At 44.0% G+C, this 19,876-nt stretch overlaps 1 protein-coding gene across 1 annotated transcript in view, besides 1 other annotated feature; it reads left to right on the top strand.

Moving 5' to 3' along the window:
- Window positions 269-19,876, top strand: part of TMEM132D (transmembrane protein 132D) — an 832,300-nt gene continuing 812,692 nt past the window's right edge. The window contains exon 1 of the mRNA NM_133448.3: window positions 269-1,033. Coding sequence (NP_597705.2) covers window positions 955-1,033 — 79 coding nt within the window. The 5' untranslated portion in view covers window positions 269-954. The remainder of the gene's footprint in view (window positions 1,034-19,876) is intronic.
- Window positions 5,457-5,958: an enhancer, noted in NCBI's record as "H3K27ac-H3K4me1 hESC enhancer chr12:130382881-130383382 (GRCh37/hg19 assembly coordinates)". NCBI's record gives its function as "activates a minimal SCP1, AML or CMV promoter by ChIP-STARR-seq in naive H9 embryonic stem cells {active_cell/tissue: H9 hESC(naive)}" and the evidence as "EXISTENCE:reporter gene assay evidence [ECO:0000049][PMID:30033119]".

Here is a 19,876-nt window from a genome sequence, read left to right as displayed (position 1 = left end):
TTGGGGCTCACAGCTGTCACTCCGAAAGGGTGGGGCTTTTTAAAAGCAGACAAATTTTTAAGGCGAAAGCCCCAGCCGGCTCCGGGCACCGTGGCGATCGCCTCCGTTCCGTTCCGGATGCGGTCCTTGCGGAGCGGAGCCCCCGCGCCTGCTGGCAGGAGGCAGCTGCGTTGCTCGGCCGCGTCCCCGAGCCGGCGGGCCCTCCTCCGCGCACATCTGGCCCGCCTCCCCCGGGCGCAGGGGGGAGCCCCGCGTCTCCGGAGCCTGCAGTGCGCTCGGCGCGCGTAGAGCCCCGCGAGCCCCAGCCGGGCCCGGGGCCGGGCGGGCCGAGGCGGCGGCCGGGGAGCAGCCGCACCCGCCAAACTTTGGGTGCCGGAGCGCGCGCGCGCCCGAGCCCCGAGGCGCAGCGGCCGGCCTGGGATGGGGGCTGCGGGCCAGGGAGCCCCGGGCCGCCCAGCGAGCCCGGCCACCCGCCCGGGGGGCTCCGAGCCGCCTCTGCCCGCGTCCCGGGCTCCGCAGCCCCGCCACCCCGGCGCCGCCTGCGCCAGCGCCCGCTAGCCAGCCCGGGAGCAGCTGGAGCCGCCGGAGCCCTGCGCCTGGAGGCGCCCCTCCTTGGGCCACCGGGGGCCACTCTTCGCTCGGGTAAACAGGAAAGGAAATACCCCCTGTGGATTAAAATTTAAAAAAAATTCTGTTGGGGTCGAAGGAGGGAGGTGGGGTTTGCCTGCGCGCGTGTTGGACTCCGGAGAGCAACTCAGGAGCCCGCGCGGTCGTCGCCTCCCGGCCTGGCCATGGACTGGCGGGAAGAGGGAGCAGGGCGCCCGGGCTGCTCGGGCCCCTAGCCGGGCGCTCCCTCGCCACCGGCCCCGCTGCGGGCCTCTAGGGGACTGAGACGGTCTCTTGTTCGCCTGGACGGCGCCGGGGAGCGGAGGATCTGCGCTCCGGGTCTCCAGGATGTGCCCGTCTGAGATGGGGACGCTGTGGCACCACTGGTCGCCGGTACTCATCAGCCTGGCCGCCCTGTTTTCCAAAGGTGAGGACGCCGCGGCCGCCAGGGCCCGGGGACTAACTTCGCCTGGAGTGAGTGTGTGGGAGTGTGTGGAGGATGGGGGCGGCCGGGAGAGAGGGCTCGTGTGCAAGTGTGTGTGCGCGCTTGTGTGCATGTGTGTGTGCGCGCGTGTGAACGTGCGCTCGTGCGGCAGCCAAGCTCCTCGGACGCCCCTTGGCCGAAGGTGCTTGTCCTGGAGCACTTGGGTGGGAGGCCTTAGGTGAGACTACTAAGGAGCCGAAAGGAAAGGAAGGCTGTTTCCTGAAAGCCTTTTCTGTAAAGGGAGAGGGCGTGGGGACCCTTGAGAGGAAAGGTGGCCTCTGGAGGGCCGAGCCGGCTGTCGGGGGAGGAGGGGATTGAGATGACCAGGGAGATTTCTGGAATTTGGGATTGACTTTCCCTGGTGGCACTGACCTATTTGGAAATAATTTTGGAGCACTCCTGTTGTATGGGAATACTATTTTGTGTATTATAGGCTGCCAAAAATATAGCCTGGGGGGCGGCTCTGAAGAAGGGGGATGGGTTTCTCCAGGTCTGCCGCTGTGAGGTTTGGGCACAGGGTCTGGCGCTCACCCTTCCGTAGGGTGCTGGGAGCAGCAGCGGCCCCGCAGGGTGCACGTGGAGTTTCAGCTACAAGTTGTGACCCGAATTTTCCCAGCGGAGCCCTGACTTGAAGCCATGTGTCAAGGCAGGAATTCCTCAATGTTTCCTCTTCTCTTCTGCCAGCATCCCTGTCTGTCATGGGAAGAGCAAGTTTGGAAGCTCTGGACAGTCATTCTTCCTTGAAGAGAAATGGTGTGATTTGTGCGGGAGATTCTTTCTCATGATTGACCTGGGCTGCTTGTGTGTGGTTCCCCCACCCGTGCCCCTTTCCTGCAGATAGATACACTGGGAGGAGAGTGAAGCGTCTCAGCAGTCTCTAATACGTGCTGCAAGAACCCTGTACCCATATTTTTCTGCAAAGATTTTTGAGATGAGATCTCTCTCAGAAACTTCAAAGCCAATTATCACGCACAAAGTCTTTTAATTACATGAATTGTCTGTTCTCTGAGTTCTTCCAGAATCACTGAGGTTATGTTGCTTTGGATCTGATAATAGATGAAGACAGTTGAAATGCCGAGTTCTGTGATGGTTCGATTTAGAAAGAGGAATTTACGTTCCCCCTCCTTCCCTGTCTTTGAAGTGTGGTTGAAATGGGCTCACGTTTCCTAATTATGAGTTAGAACAATCCCTGGGATCAGAGCCTTCTGGATTTATAATGTGCACAGGAAACCAAAGAAAAGGTTGATGAATTCAGTGAACCTGACTCAGGCAGACGTGAGGTTAAAAAAACCAAAATCCACAGCAACAACAGCCCAGCATTTTTTTTTTGGGGCGGGGGGGGTTGGTTCTCACTTGGTTTTATAATAGGTCCAGACTTCTTTGTGTTTATGCTGCAATAACAAGGTTGTATTAAGAAAGGTACAGAATAGCTTTGGAAATAGGACCTCACTATTGTGTTTTTTCACTTAGGTACATAGGTCTGTTACTGATTTCTTTATTAGACTGAGCAGTGTTGAAGAGAATTGTATTTAGCCTAATACTTGTGAACTTTTTCAACTGGGAACACTGAACATGTCCTTAAATGAGGTCCTGTGTGATGTGGAAGCCTCTTTACTAGGTGGCCAAAAATTAGCACGTAAAATGTTTACGATAAGCCTAGCATATGACATATTTTGTGTATTGAACTTAAGCAAGTCAGCCAGACAGTTCAAAAGTGAATCAGTTCTGTGTGGAGACTTTGTACAGCAATTAGCAGAGTCTGAGCACATGGTAGATGATTCAGGATTAGTCACAATATGTCAAAGAACAAGAAAAAAATCAACACCCCTATTAGCAAATTGCATAAAATGGAATTTCATGATGCAGATGTGATTTATACATTCAGGGACAGGGCCATTCTTTTCCCAATGTGTTCATATCACCTCCCTCTAAGATTCTCTGATCACTTGAAAGTTCTCACCCATCTTGCAATCAAGTATGGACTATATTGAAAAGGATTTTAATTGAAAGTAAACACACAGACACACACACATACACACATACCCCAAAGTGCCTCATTTGTCTGGGGCTGATTGAAAAAGAATATTATCAAGTATTAAATATCTGTTTCCACATATTATCATTTCTACTGTATTGTCTTTCCAAATAGGAATTTTTGAATGAAACAAAGGGCAGATTTTAATACCAGGTTAATATGCTTGAGCCTTACACGTTTATATTTCATAAGCAGAAAATGATTAGTTATAGAACAAACCCACCCTCTTGTAGATATTTTTTAAAAACAAATAAACATAAAGTTTTGTTGCTTGTATTTCTATGCCCCTGGGACCTAGGAAGTATGGTATGACACACGGAGTTTCCCCAGCAGCCTTGTCCTATGGCCCCTAATTTTTCTGGGGAATGGCCTTAAATGTTTAAGGTCTAGCTTTGCTGGCAGCTTGATGTAGTTTGCAATGGTGCTAGCCTGCAGATGAGCTTTAATGCATTACTGTGAACTTTATGGGAGGGGGCAGGTGTATGGAGGGTGGGCTGAGAGGAAAAATGGGTGAGGAGATTGGAGTTGGGCAGAGGGCAAGGTGATTTTTAAATACAAAGTCAAGAGGGTTGCCACATTTAGGTTGCTTGTTACAGTCCTCACGTGCATCCTTCCCAGTTATGTTCCCTTGCACATGCTGGTAGGAAAGAAGCAGACGCTGAGAGACCTGCAACATTGCGAGCGGGGCTGCGGCAGTGTCGTGCTCCCTGTGCCTAGGGTGGCGCTGGGCACGTGCTCTGCCTGCTTCCAGCTGAGTGCAGCCAATGGCCTGGGCAGTGGGCTTCTTGGAGCGCCTTCCTGAAACTGCTTCCATATGTAGAGCTTCTGGCCTCTAATAATATGCTGAAACGGATGTTTAATACTTGGTAATATTCTTTTTCAATCAGCCCCAGACAGTTTAGGCACTTTGCATTGTCTGTGTGTGGTGTGTCTGTGTGTTTACTTCCAATTAAAATCCTGTTAAATATAGTTCATATTCGATTTCCAGCTGGGTGAGAACTTTCAAGGGATCAGAGAATCTTAGAGGAGAGGTGATATGAATACATTGCGACATGAACTGAACTGTCCCTGAGCTTATAAATAATATCTGCATCATGAAATTCCATTTGACACAATTTGATGACACTGGGGTGTTAATTGGGTCAGAGTGAAGCTTCTGGGTAGGACAGCACCACCCTTATTGAAGGAAGCTGTGGACCAAAAAGAGCTTCAAAGTACAGTGATAACTTCTTTAGGGGTCAGGAACTTTTTGGGAGAGGAAAGAATATCAGAAGGGAGCCAGTTAGTGGGGGAGAGAGAGAGTGTGGCTTTTTGCTTACATTCAAATTCTGTCAAATTGAAAAGACAAAGAATGAAGAGACCACTAAGTTTTGTTTTGTATGAATTAAAGAGTTAAATCAAAATGTGATTTTATTAAAAATATTTATGTGCATAGAAAGGTAGAATTCCAAGTTTGAGGATCTGTTTAACTTAGTTATATTCTAAGAGCCAAGAAAAAATGAGTAAACAACAAAAATTTCAAAAATATTTTATTATAGAAGCTATGCTACACAATATTTAGAATTTATCTATCAATTTTTCTGTTAATCCAGGTGTTATCCGTCTTTCCACCCATGTATTCACCCATCATCCCATCCACCCATCCATCCACCCGTTCATTCATCCGTCCATCCATCCATCATCTACCCATCCATCCACCAGTCCATCCACCAGTCCATCTACCCATCCACCCATCCATCCATCCATCCATCCATCCATCCATGCATCCATCCATTATCCACCCATCCATCTACCAGTCCATCCATCCATCCATCCCTCCATCCATCATCCATCCATCCATCCATCCATCCATCCATCCATCCATGCATGCATCCATCCATCCATCCATGCATCCATCCATCCATCCATCCATCCGTGCATCCATCCATCCATCCATCCTTCCATCTGTCTGTCTGCCCATCCATCCATTCATTCATCATTCCATCCTTCTATCCACCCATCCTTCCATCTATCCATCTATCATTTCATCCATCCATTCATCATTCCATCCATCTGCATATTCATTCAACAAATGTCAAAGGCCACATGCCTTCAGTGAACACAGAGCTCAGCAGGAACTATTTCTAAGTGTTGTGAGGACACAGGACAGGTACTAAAGCGTCCTTAGGTAGGGATGTTTAGTGCCAGTCATTCCTCTAGATGTCAAAGTGCCTCATACCATTACTCCGTTGCTTTAAGTTGTAAGCTCAGACCTGGGCAGTTTCGTATTCATCATTCCCCTCTTCCTTTGTTCCCTCTCCTTTCCTATTTCATAACAGTAACTGCCTTCTGAGCACCAACAATGCACCCCATACCGTGCTGGGCACAGGGAGTACCGTAGTGAGGAAAAGCACAGGTTGATATGGTTACTATTCCCAGAGAACTTGCCATTTGTAGGAGAGATAGGGGAACATGTGAATTACACAGAAAAACATAAAGTTAGCACTGTGGGTGTGCTCTGGAGGATGGGGCGAGTGTCTCTGGATGCAGATAATTTGGCAGTTGACTTAGAGTAACTGGGAAGACTCGCCTTGTCTGAAGGATGGGCTGGCGTTACCGGATGGACTGGGAGGATCCCAAGTGATCCACATAATCTCCCATCTTGACTTAGTCACGTCGCCTTTTAACATTTCCAAATAAAGTAACCAACATTCCCATATTTCAGGGATTTGGATGTGAATATCTTTTGGGGGAGTGCACTTCTGCCTTTCACAAGGTTGACATTCTACAACTATTTTCTGCCTCCTCTCCTAAATTTTAAGTTCTTCTAGGGGACAAAAAAATGGGTATTTTTTCTATCTCTGATTTCTCTCCAGTATTTTTAGCTTTGTGCTTTGGACATTGCAGGGGCTCAATACAATTTTTAACTGTGCTTCCAAGAGTGTGAAATATTGCTGGAAATCATTTACCTGACAGTGCAGTGGTTTGATGCTGCCTTTTCCAGTAATTCAGAGCGCCGCAGGAAATACTTTGGTCAATAATACCAGCTAATGTTTTGAGTAATTGTTGTATGGCAGGCACTGTGCGGAGTGACTTATGAGGATAATTTTTGTGAATTTGCAGATAAACTCAATGGGGTAGATATGTACTGGACCAGAAGTTGAAGTTCAGAGATGTTAAGTAACTTCTCCAAGTCATAGCAACATAAAAGACAGGCAGAGTCTGAATTCTGATGCCAGAACCCATACCCCTGGCCATTCTGCTGACTTCTGATAATTATATGGAATAACTAAAAACCAGGCGGTTTGTCAGGCAGAATTGTTACATGGTGCCAGGCTTGCCAGGGGCTGAGTGCAGAGAGGTCTTGAGACCATTTTAGTTTTTAGCTCAGAGCCTGGTATACAGATGACCCTTGATATTTGTTGAGCAAATGAATAAATGAACATCATGTTATTTAGTTTTCTCAGCATTATTTTTTCCAGCAGCAATCAGAAATAACACCTGAAAGGGATTAAAATGGGGATTTACTTCCAAGACCACCAGGGAGGTAGAAGAGATTCTCTGATGGTGTGGAATGGTTTGGTTATCTCCTAGGTCAGCTTCTTTTTTGTTTTTTTTATTTTTATTTTCCTCCTCCCCCACCTCCCTAGGTCAAGCTTCTTAAAGAACTTGCAGACATGCCCAGTGGACTGTCTTCAGGACCTGTTTATTCATCTATGTCCCTAACATGTGTAGGGTCCTGGGCAGGGAAGACTAAGACATGGCCTCTGGTCTTCCAGGACCAAAAGTGTAGGTGACACATCAGTGGTCTCTGGGAAATTATAAAGAATGAGGAAGAAGCATGCGGAATGAAGACACAGACTCTTCCTGTTTGCAGAAGAAGGATGCTTGATGCTGTGAACATATGCGTTGTTGATTTTGATGTTTGACGCCAGACAGCACACTTGAATGAATTGTGGAGATGATATGGTGCGGCCTCTCACAAAACGAAGAGGAAACCAGCATGGATTTGTTGTGACATGGGACCAAAGACTCGGAATATTTTTAGATGACTTTGTCATTTATTTAAAAGAAAAATCTGCTGTAGGAAGAATTAAGGGGTACATACCACAGTCAGAGGCTAGGTGCTTCCGTCACCTCTGTCCTTAAACATTGGTTTCAGGAGTCACCCAAGGTGCACCCCCTCCATAAATTAAGAATTGATGGAGAAGGAAGGCCCTTGACCTTGAAAGTAAACAAACCTGTGGCATGCATCTGAAAAGCGACTGAAGTACATAGTTTTAGAACAGATCAGTCAACAGTTATAAAGGTAAAAAACATGCCTTTGAAAGAGAATTCAAATAGCCACTTCTCCTCCCTTAAGAAGTAAGTAAAGTATATAAAGTAAGTAAAGTATATAAATAAAGGGAAATTCAGATGTACATTTGGAAAGACAAGAGGTTCCACTCTTAGGAAGTAAGTAAAGTATATAAATAAAGGGAGATTCAGATGTACATTTGGAAAGACAAGAGGTTCCAAAAAAGTGTTTAACTTTTAGTGACATTAAGTTATTCTTTTCACGAGAGTGACATTAAATGTTTATGTTTATGGGAATCTCCCTCTGCAGATTCACTAAGAAGATGTCTGTCAGATTTCATTGTTGTTATTTGTTTGTTTGCATTTTGGTCAGGAAAGCTATACTGGTAGATGGGAAGACGCTTCAGTGATAAAATAGCCTGCCGAGACTCAAAGAGTGTTTGGCAGGATATTGTGGCAATAAAGTATTTTGATATCAAAACAGATGGCGACATTGCCCTGCCTGCTCTCATTCCCTGCTGCCCTGGCCTCTCCTTTCTCGTGCAGATGAACACCTGGCAGCCACTGCCTCTTGGAACAGCAGAAGGCACGAGACAGGAAAGTCAAGGCCAAGCATGATGGCTCATGTCTGTAATCCCAGCTCTTTGGGGGGCCCAGGTGGGAGGATCACTTGAGGAGTCCAGGAGTTCAAGACCAGCCTGGGCAACAAAGCAAGACTCCATCTCTACAAAAACAAAACAAAACAAAACAAAAAAAATGAGCCAGGTGCAGTGGTGTGTGCCTGTTGTCCCAGCTACTCTGGAGGCTAAGGTGGGAGGATTGCTGGAACCTGGATGGTGGAGGTTGCAGTGAGCTGTGATCATGTAATACACTCTAACCTGAGTGACAGAGTGAGACCCTGTCTCCAAACAAAAAAAAAAAAAAAAAAAAGAGAGACAGAGAAATCAAATTCCTGACTTTTGATTTCAAAAGCTGGTATCCAGCAATAGAGAAAAGATTTGGAAGAACCTATCTTCCCAGGCATATGGTTTCTCAGCCTTTCTCTTCTTCCTTCACCAAGTAATTTTTTTTTTTTACTAGGGGAAAGGGCAGGAGAATTTGGAGGGCAGCTTAGATGCTGGTGGGCTTTTCAGCTGCTCTGTGCCACGTCACTCCAATGACAAATTAAAAATATTCTAGATTGACTTCGTGAATATATTGGGAGAGCCACAAATGAAGACACTCTGTCCTAAATAGCCTGGAGATGAAGCAGAAGGAATGTTCGTATGAGGTGACCAGGCAGCATGCCCGAGCATGGCTCAAATAGCAGAATCTTTTCCTGGCAGCCAGGGCTGTGCAGGCATGGCTGAGGAAGCCCAATTGGCCCGAGGAGGCCTTGTGGTCAAGACCAGGGAGGCACAAACCATAGTCTGTGTGGACTGACCACAGGAGACAAGATATCATTTGTACCAATCACAAAGCCCTCCTGGTTGTTGTGGTCACTCCGAACCTCTCAAAACTTAGAAGTGATCCCTGAAATCATTGGGTGGGGTGGGAGTGTGGCAGTATCTACAGAGCTTTGTTTTGCTACTGGATAGAATGTGGAGTAAAGATAGAGATTTCAGTAACGTTACAAACAAATGAAGAGGTCTGTATTCGGTGCTTACTGATGCTGGGCACTGGGATTAGCGCTCACCCCAGCACTGTTGTCCACACAACGGTGACGTGTACCTGGGGGGTGCTATGCTTTGGTGGATTCCCAGCAGCTCAGATGGTAGCAGATGGTGTGGTATGAACCTTGAGCACGTTCCAAGGAGACCCCAGGACTCTGTCCCCAGCCCTGCCCAGGTGAACATTTGTATCAGAGGTGGCTGTCCAAACAGATGAGCTCCTTCGCGCAAACCTCAGAAGAGCAGCTACACAGAAGGGGTGGAGTGGTAAGGCCTTTGCGTGGCAGAGTTGTGACCAAAAGCTCACCTGAGATGAGGACAATCTAACATGTGAGACAAAGGGGATATTGCAACATGCTGAACGTAGATCACACACGCTGACTTGGGAGGTACGAGAGAGGAGTTTGAGAGGAACACGTGTAAAAAGACTTGGAGATTCGTATGAAAATAAGCTTAATAAGAGTTGACAGTCATGAAACTGCCAGAGGAAAAAAAAAAGAGAAACTACAAGAAACCAACAAGGAAGGTGCGAGCTCTGTGGGGTGTCTTGTCAATGTGTCTTATGGAAGCGGAGGCCTGGAAGGCCAGGAGCACTCATGAATAATCATAGTTTTATCATTATGGATGTGGAATATCCTCATGCTTTATCCTGACTCCACACCATCAGGACTCTGTTACATGAAGCTTCGAATTATCTTAAGAGACTTAGGAGTCCAGAGTTGTGCTGATTTTAGATGAGGCTGACCCGGGGTCTTTAAGGATCCCACCAGAACCTGCTTCATCTCTCTCTACCTTTCAGACCCTCTTTGTTTCTGCTCTACTGGTGGATAGGCCTTGATATCCCCTTGGCTGAGTCCCCTCCCAAATCTCACCTTGAATTGTAATAATCCCCACATGTCAAGGGTGGGACCAGGTGGAGATAATTGAATCATGGGGGGCGGTGTCCCCCATACACTCTCATGGAGTGAATAAGTCTCACAGGATCTAATGGTTTTATAAATGGGAGTTGTCCTCCACACGCTCTCTTGCCTGCCACCATGCAGGCTGTGCCTTTGCTTCTCCTTTGCCTTTTGCCATGATTGTGAGGCTTCCCAGCCATGTGGAACTATCAGTCCATTAAACCTCTTTCCTTTATAAATTACCCAGTCTTGGATGTGTCTCTTTTGGCAGCATGAGAACAGAATAATACAGGCCTGGACAGTGTGATGGACAAATGACTTCACGCCCAGCCTCATCTGATGCTGGTGGGGATCAGAGAAGGCTTCTTTCCCATTTCTGTGGACAAGCCTCGGGATAAGCTCTGTAGGGCGTGAAAATCATGCTCCCCTTCGATCCATCCACTGAGGGATGGGAAGGTGTGGAGCAAGGGTCAAGTGCCCCATGGCAGGAGGGCTGGACCCAAGGCAGGACCAGGTGTGGTTTCCAGATGTGTGAGTGAAGGCTGAACAGAAAATAGGGCTGCTGTCTTGCTGGCTCAGTTCACACAATTATAATTTATAGGACAAATAAAGTATTTTCACCATATTGCATTGGCAATGGATGGATGATATCAAATCCAGAGAATTGTGCTACATTGGTCTCCTTCTGCTGAAGGGGAAAAATGGAAAATTTTAACTCATTCAGAAAATGAGAAACCTAGACCCCTTATCATAGCAAGTAATATTGAAGAAACTCCATGAGTTTGACTTGGAAAAGCGATGACTTCTTTTAACTACAGAGATGTCTGTCTTTTGAAAGAAGGATGTGCCTGTCTCTGTGGCTTCAGATAGCATAAGCAGATCCAGCTGGAACACCAGAGGAAGGTCCTGTGAATGGATGGAAGCTGAGCAGGGTGGGTAGGGTGGGGAGGGTGGGAGAGCTTCTTACTCAAAAGAAATCATAATCCTGATTTTTATTATCATTGATCGAATGCTCATTTAGGCAAGGCAGGGTTCTAAATGTTGTACTTTCATTCACTCATGAAATCCTCACCACCATCCTTTGTGTAGTAGCATCTCCATTTTACAGAGGCAAAAATTGAGGTACAGGAATCTGAAATAACTAGCCCAAGTCAACAAAAAGGAGTCCTTAAGCCAGGCGTGGTGGCTCCTGCCTGTAATCCCAGCACTTTGGGAGGCCGAGGCAGGCGGATCACGAGGTCAAGAGTTCAAGACCAGCCTGGCCAACATGATGAAACCCTGTCTCTACTAAAAGCACAAAAATTAGCTGGGCGTGGTGCCATGTGCCTGTAGTGCCAGCTACTCAGAAGGCTGAGGCAGGAGAATCACTTGAACCTGGGAGGTGGAGGTTGTAGTGAGCTGAGATCATGCCACAGCACTCCAGCCTGGATGACAGAGTGAGACTCTGTCACAAACAAACAAACAAACAAACAGAGTCCTTAAAACAGGCGCCATTATGCATAAATCAGGCCACTTCGTGAGTGTGTCCATTTTGAATGTGTCCAAGCAAAGACTACAAAGGCATGGATGGCCCAGGGTTCTGGGCTCCTAGTAACAAATTGTAGCATCTCCAACACAGCTGCTTGTAGCCATAAATGATGGGGAGATGATGTGGCCTGCGTGTATAGAGATTGTGTTTTAGTTAAGTAATTCCTATTATTACTTAGGAAATAAGTAATAATACTTGGGAAAAAAATCCAAATTTTACAGTTATGCAAGTGCATTTATGAAAGGTATAGAATGTCCATAAAGGTAGTAAGAAAAAACGAGGAGGAGGAGAGGGAGGAGAAGGGAAGAGGGGAGGAGAGAAAGAAGAAGAAATATCCTTCGGCCCATCTGTTCACTCAGATCAAGCCAGAAAAGTAGAAAGCTAGGCAATTTGACTCTCATAAAATCCTTTAAATTGAATTATACTTTGGCATGAGGTTATTAGACAGTATTGAGTGATAGTCAAGAAAGATTGGTAGAGATGTTTTAAGAATATTGTCTATTAAACATAGATTTTTCCTCTTCTAGGACACGTTGGAGAAAATTTTCTTGGGCCTTAGTATCAGGAGAAAAACAGCTGCATTAATCCTGGGAAATAGTTTATACTTTATCCAGAGAGCACTGTGAAGTTTATAAGTGGCCACCTGTTTAGCTTTGCTTTAACTTTTAGGACTCTCAGAGCTAAATTTGCTGTTTGTAAGGATGGGAATTTAAGACAGGCCTCCTGTGAATAAGTTTTTTCCTTGGCTTTATTTGATTTTTCTATCCTTGTTCTGTCTGTTTTCTTGCCTTCTTAATTTATCCCATTGCATTTATTTTTTGTGAGCTACTTCAAATTATTTTTGAAATGAGAAGTAAAAAGAAACAATTTCAGTACCCAAAGATGACTGCTTCACATTTTTGATATATTTCTTTCTAGTTGTTTTTCTATGAATTTTTAAGCCAGTTTTGTTCACTCTCTATGTGGTACCTATAATTTGTTTTCAACTTTTTCGAGTTCATGTGTTTACATAAGTATTTCCTCATGTTTAAAAATGTATTATGAGTATAAATTTAATGTCTGTATCATGGCTTCAAAGTTTCTATGTTTGCTGGACAATTACATAATTTATACTTTTCTACTATTATAAGAAATAATTATCTTTGTGCATAATTTAAGTTTTGAGTTACTTCCTTAGATAGCCTCACAGTTACTTAATCTCTGGGCCAAAAAAGTATGAGGAGAGCTTTCGCTGCCAAGTTCTTTCCTGAAAGGGCTGCACCATTTTGCACAGATATTAGCCGGATTTGAAAGTGTCCAGTCCGCTGAACCTGATGCTCTTAGCAATGGCAAGTGTCAATTTCAGCCGCACCCAACGGCATTTCCTCAGTGCTTCTGTATGCCTAGAAAACTATTCAAAAGTCTTCATGAATAGAGGTCTTGCTCTTTGATGATGTTGCTCTCAAGGCCCCCAGAACTCTGTTTTGGTCAAAGTGTGGTCCTTTGCCCCGAGATGAGTTGGCTCTTGAGGGGTGAGGGATTAGAGTGGATGAGGTCATTGAGTCTGATCAGTGAGGAGGACCCAGAATTGCATCCAGCAGTTTCTTCCAGGTGTGCTTTCTGAAGTGGGCCCCAGTGAGAGGACGTCAGTGGACAGATGACGTGGAGGTAAAGAGACTTTGGCTTCAAGGTTATGAGGAAGAAGGAGATGCATTTAAAGATGGAATGGCAAGGGTGCCACCGAGTCACCGGGGAAGAGGAGGCTCCTCTAGGACCTGCTGTTTGGGCGTCGCTGTTATCAAGCAGTCAGGGCAACAGGTTTCTCTATATTTTCATCTGGAATGAGAGTTCCCTGATTCGGTGACCTCCATGGAATTCGGGAGGCCCCTGCTGCCTTAATGCCTGCATGAAACTTTCACGTTCCGTCCTAGGATCTATTTGGTTCGAGTATTTTATCTTCAACAGGAAACATCAGAGGTATAAGGAACCAAGCGTATGAATCTATTTATTCAATCATTTTGAGGACAAATTATAAACGTAATATGATACACTCTGAGGATACAGAGATGAATATGAGATTAACTCTGCCCTCATGAGATTAGAGTCTAGTGGGGGAAAATGAGGCATGGACAGTGATAAATATCTCTGGCAAGCTGTATAATACAGCTGCAGAAGAATTCGCTGATTGCGTGATGTGAGGAAGGACTGACATTTTTGGCTTTCGTGTAACTCTTTAGAAATCTCTTTTCCACAATTGTGCTTCTTCTGTGTTGGTCATGGTCTTCACTGCTGACAACAGATCCCACTGTGGTAGAGACAGTTTTATTAGAGCATAGGAGGTAGCAGCTAGACTCCTTGAGTACCAGGGAGCCAGGGTTGGGTGCCAGGAACACCAGCAGCCAGTGGGAACTCCCAGCCACAGTGTGTTCCTATTCTGGCCCCAATCCCAATAGTACCATTGCCTTCCTTTCAGCACCTATGGTGTAGGGCCCGGCAGGACTACCCGTAAATAACCAAAGACAGCACTCTAGAATATGTAAGCAGGGCGGATCCCATGTGAAACCATGGCCTCATGTCACTCACTGCCCTGCGCCAAGTTCCAGATGGATGCACCTGCTCAACAGGACCTAGGCCAGGCCAAAAACCCAAGCTCTGAGAGATCCCTGCACATCCAATTTATAGGACTGGGGCTTCTTTGATTCAAGGAGTTACTCCAGAAGGGACCTAGAACTGGTGTTCTGTGTGCCAATCTTCATACTCATCATACTCACAGAAATACTCATCTTATTAAAGTTGATTTTTGATACTATTGACCTTGCAAAAAGCCACGTTAGAATATCTCGTACATGTCATGTTTCTCTTTTCATGAGGCTTCTAGGAAAGGATGCAAGGATCCTAATTTTGTGTTTCTCGCATTCCCGTTCATGATATTGACAGATGCATACTCAATAAATGGCTGATTTGGTTATGATTTTTCTAGATAGGTTCTTACTTTTCTAGCATTTCAAAGTATTCTTTGTGTTTCTTTGAACAGGAGGCCCTCAAGAGGAAGAACTGTTCCTTTTTTTGTCATCCCAAAGGCCTCTGGACTACTGTCCTGGTCAGCATTGAACAGATGCTATAAAGAGAAAAAGCAAAGCAGATCTTCCGTTACAAGGATCTTTCTTTAGAATCTGAAGCAAACTATAAGATAATGTCCAAGAAACTGTGGATTAAATGGAAGAGTTCCAGCTCATTTCATGGATTTAAGGAAAACTTTTCTAATAATATTTTAGTAGCAGGTGAAGAGGAAATTCTCAAATTGCCTAAGGGGTACATTAGTTAGGCCAGGTTGGCTGTGCTGCAGGAACAGGTAATGCCGGTGTCTCAGTGGCTTAATATGGGAAAGGTTCATTTGTTGTTCACTCAGAGTCCAGGTCAGCACAACTGGGGAAAGGAGGGTTCAAGGACCATGTAGGATGCATTTAACATCCAGATGTGGGCTCTATTACTTCTGCCCACATCTCATTGGCTGGCATTTGGAAACGTGACTGCCATCCAACTGCAGAGAGGACTGGGGAACGTAGAAGAACATATAGGTATCTGGTCAACACTACCAGTCAAAAGGAGACGTATTTGTTCACTTAACTGAGATTCTGGGGACAAAAATGGCATCAGGCAAGGCTTGATCCAGGTGCTCAAGTGAGGCTCTACGGACCTAGAATCTCTTAGCTGTCCTTCCTGTGTTCTATTCAGACACTCTCCCTCATCTAGACAAAATGGCTTCCTAGCTCAGAATTACATCTTATCCTAACTTTAGTAAAAAGAAAGAACGTTTCTCTTAGTTCCATCAAAGCTCTGGGCCTGCCTCTTATAAGACCATAATGCTTCTTGGGACTTCCCCGACTCAAGTCACTGTGGCCAGAAGGATGGGCTAGTTATGATGACTGGCTTAAACTTATGCAATAAATAAATAGAACCAGCTCACTTTAGAGCCTGGAGGGAGGACCTACCTGAATCACGTGGTATGAAAGTAGGGGAAGAGTTATATTATGGAAAACAAGTTGGGACACTGTTACCAAAGAGAAGGTAGTGGGTACCGGGTGGTTAACAGGACAGCAACAGTCCACCCTTAGGGCTGTTAGAATTTTGTTTTTAAACGGAGTCTTGCTCTGCTCTCCAAGCTGCAGTGCAATGGCGTGATCTTGGCTTACTGCAACCTCTGTCTCCTGGGTTCAAGTGATTCTCCTGCCTCAGCCTCCTGAGTAGCTGGGACTACAGATGCATGCTACCATGCCCAGCTAATTTTTTTTATTGTATTTTTAGTAGAGATGGGGTTTCACCATGTTGTCCAGGCTGGTCTTGAACTCCTGACCTCAGGTGATCCTCCTGCCTCGGTCTCTCAAAGTGCTGGTATTACAGGTGTGAGCCATCGCGCCCAGACAGGGCTGTTATAATTTTTAATCTAAGATTCAAATATTCAAATTTTCTCTAATATTTAACCAAAAAGAGGGCTTTATGTTGTTGCCTCAATAGTGACTTCAGTAGAATTTTACCCTCCTGGAGAAGTTACTCTATCCTTTGGGTGTTTGTGTAAATGAAATGTAAGCTTTTGTTTTCAATGATTGTAATTTTTCAGAGTCCTTAATTAGATGTAAAAACTATGCACAATGGAAATTACTGTTGTGATTAAATATTTGCATTATGTGCTGTTAAAAGCAAGCATCAAAACACACAATTGCTTGTTTTACAAGCATTCAATATTTTGAAATGTGAGATCAGTAAAACTACTGAGAATTCTATTGAAAGAGAGAGAACAGCTCAAATAATATTATTTACATTTTCAGGGGAACAGTGTCAACAATAGGAGGGAAAACAGTGATTTTGAGTACAGCTGTGTTAAAAAAAAATCCCAGCTTACAAATGAGTTCTGCCTTATCTCGTTAAGTTCTGCATATCTGATTCCAATAAGGAGTTTTTGCTTGATTTACTTAATTAGGGAGAATACATTAGGGAGTTGTTTTTTGCCTGTAGTTTGGATAAATGCAACCCTAAGACAATGAGGACAATGATTTCCTAGATATGCTGATATTATAGATAGCCTGATATTTAAACTTTGGAAAGAACAAAAACTTGCAGCTTGCATTTGGACCCAATGTCACATTTTTTTACTATCTTAAAGTAATTTTCCTAGAATTGTTTGCATGTGTTAAAGAGATTTTTGATAGGAAAAGGAAACTATTATTATTATTATTTTATAATTTAAAATTAAAGTGGTGCCACGTGAATCAAAAGGGTAGGAACCGAACTTCGCAGCAGTGGAGGCTATGGGGCAATATGTGTTCAACAAATAGAGAGGAAAATTTTATTTTGTCATCCAGTTTCTTTATGTACTTTGATGTCAGAGGTGTGGTTTGTGATTGGCAGACAATGTCAAGTGTTATACTGTGGCTTACAAATATGTTTAATGTGGCTGCACTGTGAATGTCTTGTCAATATTTTGAAACCAGAGGACTTTCATAGAAGTGGATTTTCCTGCTTCTCTGGAGGTAGGAGCAGCACTAGCCTGGGATTGCCACGTGTGAGTAATTCACTCCAGCTGAGCAGCTGCCTCCACGGTAGACAGGGAGGGGCGGGCGGTCTGCACAGGCTCCTCTCCTCCTGCCAGTGCTGTTTTTATGTTTTCCCCCTGGTTACTGATCACTGGGTTTTAACTCATGTGTTTCTTAGAGTGGAGAAATAGTTCTCTATACTCAGATCTCTTTCAAAAGTAGGGATATGAAATACAAGAGTGTATTAGTCTGTTCTCACACTGCTATGAGGACGTACCCGAGACTGGGTAATTTATAAAGGAAAGAGGTTTAATTGACTCACAGTTCAGCATGGCTGGGGAGGCCTCAGGAAACTTACAATCATGGTGGAAGGAGAAGTAAACATGTTCTTCGTATGGCAGCAGCAAGGAGAAGTGCCCAGCAAAAGGGGGAAAAGCCTCTATAAAACCATCAGATCTTGTGAGGACTCACTATCAGGAGAACAGCAGCATGGGGGTAACCACCCTCATGATTCAGGTACCTCCCACCGGGTCCCTTCCACGACACGTGGAGGTTATGGGAACTACAGTTCAAGATGAGATGTGGGTGGGGACACAGCCAGACCATATCAAAGAGTGCCCTGTGTTTCTTGACTCCTAAGAGCTTCCCTCATTTGTGTTCTCCCTGGCCCTGGCGATGCATGGCAATACCAAGTTATTTACCTTTAGTGTGAAGGATTGTTTAATGATTTGTTAGGTTATTTATGTAGATCAGTGCTGTTTAAACTACATTATATGAATGGAGGGGCGATGCAAAGACCTTCCTAGGAGTTTGGGAATGGGGATGTTTTAAAGGGAATTTGTTTTACATCCTTAACGTCTGTATATTTTCTGATATTCTGTATATTTTATGATCTGTCCAGGTTAATTCAAAATCACCTGTTCATCCTCTGTCTTCTCTCTCTCACACACAGTTCTTTGATTTTACAATAGCAAGACACTTCTCTTCCATCTCCGGTCTTACTATGATTCATTCCCCTCAGAAGTAAAAGCCTCCACAGTTGCAAAAGTACAATTAGACAGTTCCTTTAATCAAGGAGCTTAACACTACCATCCCATAGCCCATTAAGAGATACATTTGCAATAAAAAATACTTTTTATCTTAAAAGGTATTTATTAAAATGTGTTATATATGTATTTACCTTTCATTGTTTTGATTGTGTAACAGTCATAATTGTAATGACACCAATCCAAAGAAATTTTTGCATAATGAGAATCTTACAGTGAGGAGAAACTTTAAAAAGTTTAAGTTCAATATATAACCATACATTTTTGTGGTAAGAAGACATAATAAGGTAATGGACAGTTACTTTCAAGGTTATTACATTAGGTTAAAATTCTGTGAAATAACTGGAATGGAAACATGAGTTCAAGGAGAAAATGGAACAAAGTAACATTTCTTATTAGTGAAGAGTTTTTCATGGGTTTTATAAGTGGATGGTCGTGGGTGTCAAGCCATTCTGTTATTTATATTCCAATGGATACATTTAAAAGAGTGATGTAACAGTTTCATTTTAAAATGTCAAGATTTACAATACACTAGAAACTTCATCCTTAGCAACTATTGAAACTGGATGAAAAATATTAGATACCACTTTTGAAATTTGCAAGTGGGTACAGAGTTTAAAAAGTGTTCTATTAGGAGTTGCAGGAGCAGTAGTGTGGGAAGACCATTGTTTTTACACGAGTGGTTCTCAGCCTTGGGTACACATTAGAATCATTTCTAGAGTTTTGCAACAGTCCAGTCAGCACCTGAGCCACGGTGTAGACCAATGACATCAGAATATGCCAGGATCAGTTCCAAGCATTGGTAGTTTTCAAAGCTCCCAAAGTGATTCTGATATGCAATCAAGGTTGAGAACCCTGGAGCAGGTCCTTCAAGGGAAGCCATCTGTTGTGTGTACAAGGGTTGAGGCAGTGATTCTGCACTCTGGCTACACGTTAGACTCACATAAGAAGATATGGTGAGTGGAGAAAGTCAGGCTAATTGAAGTATAATTTGCATAGAGTAAAATTCCCTCTACTATTGAACAGTTCTGTGAATTTTGAGAAATACATATGGTCTGGTAACCGTTGCCAAAATCAAGATACAGAACATTTCTGTAACCCTCAAAAGTTTCCTCTTGCCCCTTGATAATGGGCCCCTCTCTTTTTCCTCATCCCCTGGGAACCACACATTTGATTCTGTCCCTATAGTTTTGTTTTTTCCAGAATGTTAAATAAACTGTCATACACTATGTAGCCTTTTGGGCTAGGCTTACTTCACATTGCCTAATGCATTTAATATTCTTACAAGTTGTTGGTATGCTGGTAGTTCATTTCTTTTTATTACTGAGTAGTATGCCATGGTATGGTTGTACCAGAGTTTGTTTACCCATTAGCTATCTGAAAGACACCAGAGTGGTTAGTATTGGTTGTTATGAATGAAACCACTATAAGCATTTGTGTGCAGGGTTTGGTGTAAACACATGCTTTCATTTCTTGGTAGGTATGTAGGTAAATACCCAGGGATGACATTGCTGGGGTCACATGAGATGTGTGTGTTTAACATGATAAGAAACTGCCAAACTATTTTGCAAAATGGTTGAACCATTTGGCATTTCTGCCAGCAATGTGTAAGGTTCCAGCTGTTCCACATTCTTGCCAACACTTGATATTTTCATATTGTAATTTTATTGTAGCCATTCTAATACATGTGTAGTGGTACTTCATTGTGATTTTAATTTGCATTCCCCTAATTACTAATGATGTTGAGTGGCATTTAGTGTGATTATTTGCCATCTGTAGATGTTTTTGGGTAAAATATCTGTTCAAATCCTTTTGATATTTTAAAATGGCCAAATAATTTGGGT

Source organism: Homo sapiens, chromosome 12 (assembly GCF_000001405.40).
Source record: "Homo sapiens chromosome 12, GRCh38.p14 Primary Assembly".
Taxonomy (NCBI): Eukaryota; Metazoa; Chordata; class Mammalia; order Primates; family Hominidae; genus Homo; species Homo sapiens.
Note: the sequence above shows the minus strand (reverse complement) of the source record. Positions and strands in the feature narration are given on the sequence as shown.